Genomic DNA, 12,619 nt, shown 5'->3' with positions numbered 1-12,619 from the left:
TGTTTTCACCTCTGCCAATAAGTGTTTTCTCTTCCATTTTCCTTGAAGCATGAATCCCTTTCATCTGTCTTTGAAGTTATTGATTTTTCTACTTTTAATGGGATAGAGGCATATTCTATCTGTTTTTAAAAACCCTGAGCCCCACAGGGTGCTCAGTGGCAGCAGGCACGCAGTCCCTGGACCTGGGGGCAGAGGGAGGCAGGGCCTGCATGGCCTGTGTGAAGATCGTTGATCCCCGGTAGAGTCAGGGCCCTTCCTCAGCCTGGCCGTCTTGTGGGTGTTTCTAGGCCTCCCCATTCATGAGAAATTCCCATCTTTCTCATCCGGGACCTGTGCATGCCTCTAGAGAACCCATGGTGCAGAGCACATGCAGCATGGCTGCCACCCGCTGGCCTCCAGCCTGGCCCAGCCCCCAGTGTGCTTACGGCCGCTGATACTGATTCAGTTAACAGCACTAAAAGGTTTTCACAGCTTCATTTATTTCTGTTTAGTTTAAAGCCATTTAAGAAAGTACTTAGTCCTATTTGTTCATTTTATAGGGAGTGAAAAGTGACTTGCTGAAGGTTCTCTCAAGAAATTTCCAGAGATTTGCTGATGTGTGTGTTTGGCTTATCTCCTTACTGTTTCCCTACCAGCACTGGCCTGTGTTTGTGGAGGTGAAAGACCTTTTGACATTGGTGCCGCCCCTGGTGGGCCTGAAGGGGAACCTGGAGATGACACTGGCATCCAGACTCTCCACAGCTGTAAGTGGACACCTGGACATTCGAGGCGGCCACAACGTGAGGCAGGCGCGTCCCTACCACCTGGTCTCCCCTGGCTTGTGGGCGGTGGGTTGGATTCTCCAAAACAATGGATATTTCTGGGTTTTGATACCTCATCATGCTGTCCCTTGTCCCTCTCCCAGCCCAATGCCTTGGCTTTCCACTACCAAACTGGATGACTGAGGGATGTGCACAACCCTGTTTGCCCCTGTTCCTCCTTTGACCTAAATGTCAGTGGGTGCCTTGTGCCCCGAGTCTGCACACCGCCCTGCCACCCGCATCCACCTGGACCCTGAGCTCAGCCCCATCACACGTTCACACAGAAGCCACGACAAGCAATGCAGACCTGATGGAGGGTTCCATGGAGGAGACAGGAAGGTTTTGTCACCCAGATTAACCTTTCTCAGTGGCTTCTGCTCCCCAGAATGGCTCCCTGAATGCTTGATCACTGGAGGTGTCTTCTCTGGGCTCTTGAACCAACACAGTTCCTAGCTTTACCAGCTCTTCTCACACCTTCCCAGCTATCCCAGGAGACTGAAGCTTTTTCCCTTCTACTACACAGAATGGTTTCTCCCTTTCTCTGATGCCCATGTGATATCCTGTAGGTGACAAAGACTGTGGCAAGAGGAGGTTGTGGTGTGTTCAAGGATCTGAGAGGACAGCAACGTAGCTATAGAGTAGAGGGCAGGTGGGGTGGGGGCAGGGGGCTGCCGAACATGAGGCTGAAGAGATAGGTGAGGCGCAAGTGGCTGAACAGTGGCCCCAGAGATAACCAGGTCCTGGTCTTGGAACCTGTGGATGTTAACTTATAGGGAAGAGGCCCTTGCAGAGGTGACTAAGAGAAGCCCCTTGGGATGGGAGATTGTCCTGGATTATACAGATAGACCCAGTGTAACCACAGGGGTCCTTATAGAGAGGAACAGAGGGACGTTTCAGACAGGAAAAAAGGCCATGTAGTGGAAGCAGCATAAGAGAGGAAAGATACTGTGCTCCTGGCTTTGACGACAGAGGAAGGGCCATGAGCCAAGAGATGGAGCTCTGTGTGCTGGGAAAGAGAAGGAAACAGATTCTCCCCTAGAGCTTCCAGAGGGAGTGAGGTTTTGATTTTGACCCCATAAGACTCATTTCAGACTCCTGTCCTCTAGAACTATAAGAGGATAGATTTCTTTTGTTTTAAGCCACTAAGTTTGTTACAGCAGCGAGAGGAAACTAACACATGGGGCCAGATCATGTGGAGCCTTGTGGGATGTGGAAATGTCTGAGCAGCTGGTAACATGATACAGCTACACACATGCACACACAACTCATGTATACACATGCATACGTGTGTGCACAATTGTTTTGGTCAGTGTTTGGGAGGGAAAAAAATGTTGATAGTAATCTCTGCCATGGAGGCATTTCAGGTGTTTGTTTCATAGTGTTTAACTGCATTTTTTTTTTGAGACAGTTTTGCTGTGTCACCCAGGCCAGAGTCCAGTGGCATGATCTCAGCTCACTGCAACCCCTGCCTCCTGGGCTCAAGTGATTCTCATGCCTCAGCCTCCCAAGTAGCTGGGATTACAGGTGTGTGCCATCACACCCGGCCAATTTTTGTATTTTTAGCAGAGGCAGGGTTATACCATGTTGGTCAGGCTGGTCTTGAACTCCTGACCTCCAGTGATCTGCCCGCCTCAGCCTCCCAAAGTGCTGGGATTATAGGCATGAGCCACCGTGCCCAGCCCGTAACTACATTTTAAACACTTCTCTACAACGATCGTATCTCAGTGTTTTAATTCTCTTAAAATATGTAAAACATGAGAGGAAGAAAAGAACTATTAATGTAATTCTTGAACTTCCGACCTCGTGATCCACCCGCCTTGGCCTCCCAAAGTGCTGGGATTACAGGCGTGAGCCACCGCGCCTGGCCATATTAATGTAATTCATTACAACAGTCTGTCAAAGGAGAGCAGACACATTATCATAACAGTAGAACCTTCAAAGGTTTTACTTTGTTTTTTTTTTTTAAATCAGTCTTAAGGTATAAATTGATAACAATAAAAACAGAGGGTTTAAGTGTGCAGGTCAATGACTTTTGACGAATACATACACCTGTGTAGCTGTGACCCTAGTTGAGACACAGAACATCTCCATCTCCCTGGAAAGTTCTTGTTGCTGTTGCAGCCCACTCCCCTACTCCATACCGGCCCCCTTTGATCTACCTTCAATCTCCATCTGTTAGTTTTGCCTTCAACTCCCGTATGTGACTTACAAAGATACTCTTAGTGCAACTTGAAACAGAAGAATATTTTATTTATGTTGTTCTGTGTATTCTGGCTAGTATAATAAACTAGGAAAAGAAAGTAAGAGTCTTAAATATTGGAAAGGGAGAGAAAAACTTATTTTATTAGTGATATGCTTGCCTTCTTGGAAAATCTAAGCAAATCACTTAGAAAACTGTAAAACAAATGGTAAAGTAGGCCAGTTTCAAAACATCTAAATGAAATAAAATATATACATGAACATACATAAACATGTCTCTATATACTCCCGTACACACTGGAAATAGTCGTTTATAAGGTATAATTTAAAAAGAGATTCCCTTCAAACTATTAACCAGTTTTTAAGTAGTTTCAGAATAATCCTCAAAACAAAATGGGCAAAACCTATACAAATAAACTACAAAGCTTTATAAAGAGAAATAAAAATTTGGAGAGAGAAGTTCCTGAATGGCAAAAGTCAATGTTGTAAAGTTATCAATTCTCTTTCTTTTAGCTTATAAAATTAATACAAATTTTTCTAATAACTAGTGATGGTGAGCATCTTTTCATGTGCTTATTGGCCGTTTGTATGTCTTCTTTGGAAAACTGTCTATTCAAGTCCTTTGCCCATTTTTTAATTAGTTTTTTTGGTTGTTCTGTTGTTGAGTCGTAGTTCCTTATATATTCTGAATATTAATCTCTTATCAGTATATGCTTTGCAAATACTTTCTCCAGTTCTGTAGGATACCTTTTTGCCTTATGTCCTTTAATGCACAGAAGTTTTTAATTTTCATGTAGTTCATCTATTTTTGCTTTTGTCACCTGTGCTTTTGGTATCATATCCAAGAAATCATTGCCAAATCTAATGCCTTGAAACTTTTTGCCTATGTTTTCTTTTGAGACTTTTGTAGTTTGAATTTTTGTTTAGGTCTTTGATTCATTTAGAGTTTATTTTTGTACATGGTGTAACATAAGCATCCAACTTCATTCTTTTGCATGTGGATATTTCGTTTTCCCAGCTCCATTTTTTTGAAGACTCTCCTTTTCCCATTGAATGTCCGTGGCACCCTTGTCATTTGACCATATATTTAAGGGTTTATTTCCAGGATATTTTATTCCATTGATCTCCATGCCTGTCTTTATACCACACCATTTAGATTACTGTAGCTTTATAATAAGTTTCGAAGTCATGAAGTATGAGACCTCCAACCTTGTTCTTTCTTGAGATTGTTTTGGCTATTCAGGGTCCCTTAAATTCCATAGGAATCTATAAATGTATTTTTCTGTTTCATCAAAATACAGCATTTAGTTCTTGTTTGTTTGTTTGTTTGTTTTGAGACAGGGTCACCCAGGCTGGAGTGCAGTGGCACGAACCTGGCTTACTGCAACCTCTGCCTCCCAGGCTCAAGTGATCTTCGCACCTCAGCCTCCTGAGTAGCTGGGACCACAGGCATGAACCACTGCACCTAGCTAATTTTTGTATTTTTTGTAGAGACAGGGTTTCACCATGTTGCCCAGGTTGGTCTCAAACTCCTGAGCTCAAGCTATTTGCCCATTTTGGCCTCCCAAAGTGCTGGGATTACAGGTGTGAGCCACTGTGCTGGCCAGCATTTAGTTTTTTTGCTTAAATATTTTAATGTTTAGGTTTTGATGAGATTGTATTAAATTTGTAGATTCTTCAGCTAGTATTGACATCTTTCTTTTCTTTTCTTTTTTTTTTTTTTTTGAGATGGAGTTTCGCTCCATTGCCCAGGCTGGAGTGCAGTTGTGCCATCTCAACTCACTGCAACCTCCACCTCCCAGATTCAAACAATTCTCCTGCCTCAGCCTCCCAAGTAGCTGGGATTACAGGCACCTGCCACCATGCCTGGCTAATTTTTGTATTTTTAATAGAGAAGTGGTTTCATCATGTTGGCCAGGCTGGTCTTGAACTCCTGACCTCAAGTGATCCACCTACCTCGACCTCCCAAAGTGCTGGGATTACAGGCATGAGCCACCATGCCCAGCCTAGTATTGATATCTTAACAATATTAAGTCTTCCAGTCCATGGATATGGTATGTCTTTTCATTTATTTGTGTCTTCTTGAATTTCTTCAGAAACACTTTGTGGTTTTTAGTGTACTAGTCTTTTGCCTTCTTGGTTAAGTTAATTCATAAGTATTTTATTCCTTTTGATGCTATTATAAATGGTATTGTTTCTTAGTTCTTTTTTGAATTATTCATTGTTATTGTATAGAAACGCAACTGATTTTTGTTTGTTGATTTTGTATCCTTCATCTTTGCTGAATTCATTTATTATAAAAATTTGTGTGTGTGTGTGTGTGTGTGTGTAATCTTTAGAGTTTTCAGCATATAAGATTACATTATCTGCAAACAGAGGTAATTTTACTTCTTCTTTTCTAATTTGTACACCTTTTACTTTTTTTATTTCTTGCCTAATTTCTCTGACCAGAACTTTTAGTAGTGTGTTAAAAAGAAGTAGTGAAAGCAGGCATCCTTGTCCTGTTCCTGATCTTAGAGCAAAAGTTTGTCTGCCACCATTAACAGTGATGTTTACTGTGGGATTTTCACATATAACCTTTATTATGTTGAGGTAGTTTCCTTTTATTTCTAGTTTGTTGGGTGTTTTTTTTTTTTAATCACAGAAAGGTGTTGAATTTTGTCAGATGCTTTTTCATCATGTGGTTTTTTTTCCCCCCATTGATTCTGTTAACATGGATTGATTGATTTTTGTATGTGGAGCTATCTTGTATTCCAGGAACAAACCCACTTGGTCATGGTGCATAATCCTTTTAATATACTGTTGTATTCAGTTTATTAGTATTTTTTGAAGATTTTTGCATCAATATCCAGCAGATATTGGTCTGTAGTTTTTCTTCTAGTGTCTTTGTCTGGCTTTGGTATTAGGGTAACACTGTTTCATAGGATGAATTTGGAAGTATTTCTCCCTCTTCAATTCTTTGGGACAGTTTATGGAGGATTGGTGTTAATTTTTCTTTAAATGTTTGGTAGAATTCACTAGTGAAGGCTTCTGGTCCTGGGTTTTCTTTGTTGGGAGATTTTAATTACTGATTTCATTTTCTTAGTTTTCAGTATATTCAGATTTTGTATTTCCCATGATTCAGTCCTGGTAAATTGTTTCTCGAGGAATATATCCATTTTAATTAGGCTGCCTAGTGTGTTTGGATACAATTTCCTTTCTTGTATTCCTTTTTATTTCTGTAGAATCAGTAGTTTTGTCCCATTTTCATTTTTAATTATAGTTTTTTGAGACTTCTTTTTTTTCTTAGTCAATTTAGCTAAAGGCTTTTGAATTGATTTTTTTTTTTTTGAGGAACCAATCAATTCTTAGTTTCATTGATTTTTCTCTGTTATTTTTCTGTTCTCTATTTTATTTATCCCTGCTATAATCTTTATTATTTCCTTCTTTCTGTGAACTTTAGGTTTAGTTTGCTCTTTTCTTAGTTTCTTAAGGTATAAGTTTAGGTGGTTTATTTGAGGTCTTCTTTTTTTAATGGAATTGATTACAGCTATAAATTTCCCTTTAAAACTGCTTTCACTGCATCCTATAAATTATGATGTGTTGTATTTTCATTTTCATTTGTCTTGAGATATTTTCTAATTTACTTTGGAATTTTTTTTTGGACCCACTGGTTGTTCAAGTGTATGTTGCTTGATTTCCACATTTTTGGAGATACTTCTGTTGTCTTTCTATTGATTTCTAGTTTTACTCCCTTGTGATTGGAAAATATACTCTGTATGATTTTTTTTTTTTTTTTTTTTTTTTTTTTTGAGATGGAGTCTCGCTCTGTCGCCCAGGCTGGAGTGCAGTGGCGTCATCTTGGCTCACTGCAAGCTCCGCCTCCCGGGTTCACGCCATTCTTCTGCCTCAGCCTCCTGAGTAGCTGGGACTACAGGCGCCCACCACTACGCCCGGCTAATTTTTTTGTATTTTTAGTAGAGATGGGGTTTCACTGTGTTATCCAGGATGGTCTCGATCTCCTGACCTCGTGATCCACCCGTCTCGGCCTCCCAAAGTGCTGGGATTACAGGCGTGAGCCACTGCGCCCGGCCCTCTGTATGATTTTAATCTTCTTAAATATATTAAGACTGGTTTCATGGCCTAATATACGATCTGTCTTGGAGAATGTTTCATGTTCACATTTCATTGAGAAAAATGTGTATTCTTCCATTGTTCGGTGGAGTGTTTTGTATATTTTCTTTTAGGTCCAGTCAGTTCCTAGTGTTATTCAAACCGTCTGTTTCCTTACTGATCTTCTGTCTGGTTGTTGTATTCATCATTGATGATGTGGTATTGAAGTCTCCAACTATTATTGAACACCTCTCTGTTTCTTTCTTCAGTTCTGTCAGTGTTTGCATCATGTATTTTGGGAACTTTGATGTTTGGTAAAACATGTTTCACTATTTGTAATTGTTCTATCTTTGGAATGATTTCATCCTTGTATCATTGCATAATGTCTTTCTTTGTATCTTGCAATGGTTTTTGACTTAAAGTCCATTTTGTCTCATATTAGCATAGCCACCTCTGCCCTCTTTTGCTACTCTTCGCATGGAATATCTTATAGCATCTTTTCACAATAAACCTTTGTGTGTCCTTAAATCTAAAGTGAATTTCTTATAGACAACATATAGTTGAATCCTGTTTTTTGTTTTGTTTTGTTCTTAATCCATTCTGCTAGTTTTTGTATTTTGATTGAGGGATTTAACCCATTTACATTGAAAGTAATTACTGATAGGAAAGGACTTACCGTTGCAATTTTATTTGTTTTCTGTGTCTTAATAGCTTTTTTGTCTCTTATTTCTTCCCTATTGCCTTCCTCTGGGGTGTTTTTTTTTTGTTTTTTTGTTTTTTTGTTTTTTTTTGCAGTGATATGTTTTGATTGCCTTCTTAGTTCCTTTTTGTTTATATTTTATAAATGTTTTCTTTGTAGTTACCATGAGGATTACATACAACATCCTAAAGTTATTACAATTTACCTTAAACTGATAGCAGCTTAACTTCAATTGCATATAAAACTCTACTGTTTATAGCTCTGCCTCTGAACTTGGTTATTGATCTCATAAAGTATATCTTTTTATATTGTGTACCTATTAAATATATATTTTTATGCTTTTGTGTTTTAAATGCTTATAAAATTTTTTACAAACCAATTTTAAAATAATACAATTTTTAATACTTTTTTGTGCATTTACCTTTATTGGAGAATATTATATTTTCATTTGGCTTCAAGTTCCTGTCTGGCATTCTTTCATTTCAACTTGAATGACTCTCTTTACCATTTCTTGTAGGGCAGATCTAGTAATAATGAACTCCCTTAGCTTTTATTTAGGAATTTCTTAATTTTTCCCTCATTTGTGTAAAATAGTTTTGCCAGATACAGAATTCTCAGTTGACAGGTGTTTTTATCCAGCACTGTAAATATATTAATATTACCTCTGGACTGCAAGTTTATGCTGAGAAATCCACTGATGATTTTATTGAGGATCTTTTGTATGTTATGAGTCTCTTTCCTCTGTTGGCTTTGAAGATTCTCTTTTTGTTTTTGACTTTCAAATAGTTTGTTTATAATGTGTCTCAGTATTGATCTTTTTGAGTTTATCCTACTTGGAATTCATATACCTTACATTTCTATATTCATATCTTTTTTTTTTTTCAAATTTGGGAAGTTTTTGGCCATCATTTCTTCAAATAAGCTCTCTGCCCACTTATCTCTTTCCTTTCTGGAATTCCAAATTGTATGTATTACAATTGAGTGTTCTGTAATTCCATTAAGTTTTATTCACTTTTCTTAAATCTTATTTATTTTTGTTCTTTCAGACTTGATAAATTCAAATGACCTGTTTTCAAATTTGCTCATTCTTCAGACTTTTAGAGTTTGCTGTTGAACCTCTGTAAAGAATTTTTCAATTCAATTATTGTGTTTTTCAGTTCCAGTATTTCTGTTTGGTTCTTTTTTTATGATTTCTGTTTCTTTGTTGATATTTTCATCTTGTTCATATCTGTTTTTTAAATTTCCTAAAGTTATATGTCCTTTAGCTCACTGAACATATTTAAGACAGTTGCTTTAAAGTCTTTGCAAGCTCAAAGACTTTCTTTAGGGTCAGTGTCTGTCAATTTTTTTGTTCCTGTGACTAGACTGTGTTTCACTTTTTTTGGTATCCTTTTTCATCTTTTATTAAAAATTAGGTATTTGCAAAACAGCCATCTCTCCAAATCTTTGCAGACTGGCTCTGTGTAGGGAAAAATCTTCACCAATTAGTCTGGCATGAAGGCTTAAGGTCTTTTCGGGGGTTTTCTGGCATGCATCTCCCAGGGCCTGTGGATGTGCTTTTTCTCTCCAATTCCCCCATATACATGGCTGCTTTTAAATGTCTTAATATCCCTCAGAATGTCAACTCTGCTTCTTCTCAGGGCCTTGACATTCTATTGTGTTCCTCTGTCCATAATCTCTTTCCCCCAGGCACGCATGGGCCTACATTTCCTCCATGAGAACTCTAATATGTTGGGCACCTCTGTGGCCTTCATCCTAATGTCCAAACTGTGTCACCATTTCCATTTGCTTTTGAGAGACAGACAGAAACCAGTTACTTGGGCAGCCCTCAGGCAAGCCAGAGGATAGCCAGCAGGTTCTATTCCTTTCTTTCCTTCTTTCTTTCTAGGATTAGGTGGTTCCTCCCAACTGCACCATGCTGTGTGGAGGAGGGGGTGGTGCAAGGGCAAGCAGAAACACCATGGAATTCCCTACTGGTTTGAGGGTGGCTTTTTCTTGGTTGGATTTTCTCTTGGTTGCTGCAGATCTTAACTGGTTTCTGAGCTGCCTCAAAGCTATTTTGGTCACTCTGTGTTGCTTATTTGATGTGTCTGTGCGGAAACAAGGGCCTGGAGGTGCCTATTCACCATCTTGCTGGTGCCACTCTTTGTCAGCTTCCTTTTAAATTTATTTTTGTTTTGATTGAGTACATCCTCTAGTAATTGTTTTAGATAAGATTTGTTGGAAGTAAACTTTGGACATTTGGAGTAGGAAAATGCTTTACTTTTTCCTTACCATTGAATGCCAGCCTGGCTGGCTAGGGAATGCAATGTTCATAGTTATGTTCCTGCAGTACTGAAGTTATACTTTCAGTATCTTCTTGTGCCCAGTGTTGCTGATGGAAGCCTGCGCCCTTTTGAGTCTCATTTCTTTTAGGTAATTTGTTTATCTTTCTATCTGGACTTTTTGGAGATTTTTTTCTTTTATCATCTGTGTTATGGAATTTCACCATGATGTCTCTGGCATAGAGTTTTTCGCATTATCTTGCATGTATCTTGGAGTTTTTCAATCTAAAGACATCTGTCTTCAGCTCTATAGAAAACTTTATTATTTTTTGTATTTTTATATTCATTCCCCCACCCCCCCTCCATAACTCCTATTTGGGTACATATTGTAGTTTCTGAGTCTACCTTTTGAGTTTCTTAACTCTCTTTTCATACTCCCTACATTTCTGCTAGAATTCTTCTGCTCCATTTAATTTTTCACTGATTCACTCTTCATCACTCTGTCTCTTCAACCACTGTGCTATTGAAGTCATCTAATGAAAAGATTTTGTTTTTGTTTTTTATTTTAAATTTAGAGATTAAGTATGTACTTTCTGGAATCTTAAAAATTATCTTTTTATTTATGAAGGACCATTCTCTGACATCTCATTTAATTAACTTATCCTAGATACTTATTCAGTTTCATACTTTGATTCTGTTTCCCTAGATTTTGTACTTCCATTGGTTGACTTTGTTGAGTTTCAAACTCAGAGGCTTGTGGCTTGCCTTTAGTGAAGAGGTGCTTGTGCATCATTTTATTTTAGATTTACACTTACCTCGTAGATCTGTGAATACTGCCCTTAGAGGAGGCTCCAATCTAAAGATTGGAGGGAGGGCACTCAGAATGTGTTGACTAGACTGTGCCAGTAACTCTTTTCATGGGTAAGGGGGCTCTGTGTCCCTCTTGTCATGGTCACTTGGGGCACTGCCCTGCCTCTCTGACCCCAACACTCTCGCTGCATCTGCTTGGAGCCAGGCCAGGTGGCCACATCTCATTCTTGGCACAAACCAAGCAGGCAGGGGAAAGGTCAACCCTCCTTGAAGCTCCTGCAGAGGTATCTGCAGCAAATGCCCTTTCAGCTGCTCCAGGCTCCCTTCTGCTCGCATTATCCCCAGGACTACCTCTGCCTTTTGCAATAGGCCTTTCCTCTGTCGTTTTCAGTTATGAATTCTCTCGTCAACCCAATTTGTCACTTTCCATTCTTCAGGGATTCCTTTTCATTTCTGTTACAGCATAGATACCTCTTCTTGTTTTCCAGCACTCTTGTGCATTTTAAAAACGATCTCCTCAATGCTAGAATGAATCCTGTGATGCTGGATTAGAGTTGGAAATAAGCATGAACTCAAGTTCATTGTAATATGTATGTAGATAGATATTTATGACATGTATAGATGCATAGATAGTTACTATATTCTTGAGGTTAAAAGCCAGCACCCATATTTATTCTGTTGCTGAAATGGTTCTAGCTCAGATGGCTCCTGCTTCCTGACATGCCCCACCCGCTCTTGGGCACTCCCTTACTTTTTGGCACTGTCAGATACTCCAGGTACACACCTTATATTTTCCTTGCCCTGGCCCTAATGAGCCATTTTCCTAAGGAAGCTGGCTCCTTTTATTGAAGAACTGAATTTAGCAAACAAGATCTGGGCAGTGGGTGTACTTGTTGCTCCTGGGATGCCACACTTCTAGTTCCTCTCAGTGCACTGAACTAGGAAACGTATGTATGTATATATGCCAACCTGTGTATGTACACATATCCACAGATAAGATCCCTTAATACATTATTAGAGTGTGGGACTTTAAAGAGAAGTAGGATCTTTGCATAGCCTCAAAGTATCTCTTTTAAATATGTGTGGATTGTCTGGTTGTTTTAACGTATGTCCTCAAATCTTGGATATACTGCCTTAGAGGAGCTAAAGCTTAATTCCTTCCCCTTGAGTGTGGGCAAGACCTAACGACTCATTTCTAACTGAGAGTATAGGAAGCAAAAAAATAGTGTTTGCAGTGGAGAAACCTGGCAGACGCCACCTCAGCAGTGACCTGGGTCAGCAGTATTGGTGACAAGTCTCGCTGCTATCACCCATGACAGGGTGCACAGTGGAGGCACCTCACCTCACTGGTCTTCTACCTCAAAATGCACAATCTCAGTTTAACCATGAGGAAGCCTCAGGGAAACCCAAATTGAGAGACATCCCATAAAATAGCTGATTTGTATTCTTCTACAATGAGATTCAGGAGCTGTGGCTAAATGCAATGGGCAATCCTGATTTATTTCCTGGAACATAAAAAAGGACATTAGTGAGAAAACTGGGGACATATGAATACATTCTATAGTTTAGTTATTAGTGTTGTACCAGTGTTCAATTTTTAGTTTGGTGACTGTGTTAGCCCATTTGTGTTGCTCTAAAGGAATACTTGAGACTGGGTAATTTATAAAGAAAAGAGGTTTATTTGGCATATAGTGCTGCAGGCTGAACAGGAAGCATGGTGCCAGCATCTGCTTCTGGTGAGGGCTTTAGGAAGC

At 39.3% G+C, this 12,619-nt stretch overlaps 1 protein-coding gene across 27 annotated transcripts in view; it reads left to right on the top strand.

Moving 5' to 3' along the window:
* Positions 1–12,619, top strand: part of SLC41A3 (solute carrier family 41 member 3) — a 95,164-nt gene that overhangs the window by 49,835 nt on the left and 32,710 nt on the right. For 13 of the 27 annotated variants that reach the window (NM_001164475.2, XM_005247563.3, XM_017006707.2 and 10 more), the window contains one exon: positions 636–743. The exons of 5 other annotated variants lie outside the window; for them this stretch is intronic. In NM_001164475.2, the coding sequence (NP_001157947.1) occupies positions 714–743 (30 nt within the window). In that variant the 5' untranslated portion in view covers positions 636–713. Of the gene's footprint in view, positions 1–635; positions 789–12,619 lie in introns of all 27 variants that reach the window. 9 more of the 27 variants (XM_047448404.1, XM_005247559.1, XM_005247564.1 and 6 more) reach the window with 1 other exon arrangement.

The sequence above is a fragment of the Homo sapiens genome, chromosome 3 (genome assembly GCF_000001405.40).
Source record: "Homo sapiens chromosome 3, GRCh38.p14 Primary Assembly".
In the NCBI taxonomy this organism is placed as follows: Eukaryota; Metazoa; Chordata; class Mammalia; order Primates; family Hominidae; genus Homo; species Homo sapiens.
Note: the sequence above shows the minus strand (reverse complement) of the source record. Positions and strands in the feature narration are given on the sequence as shown.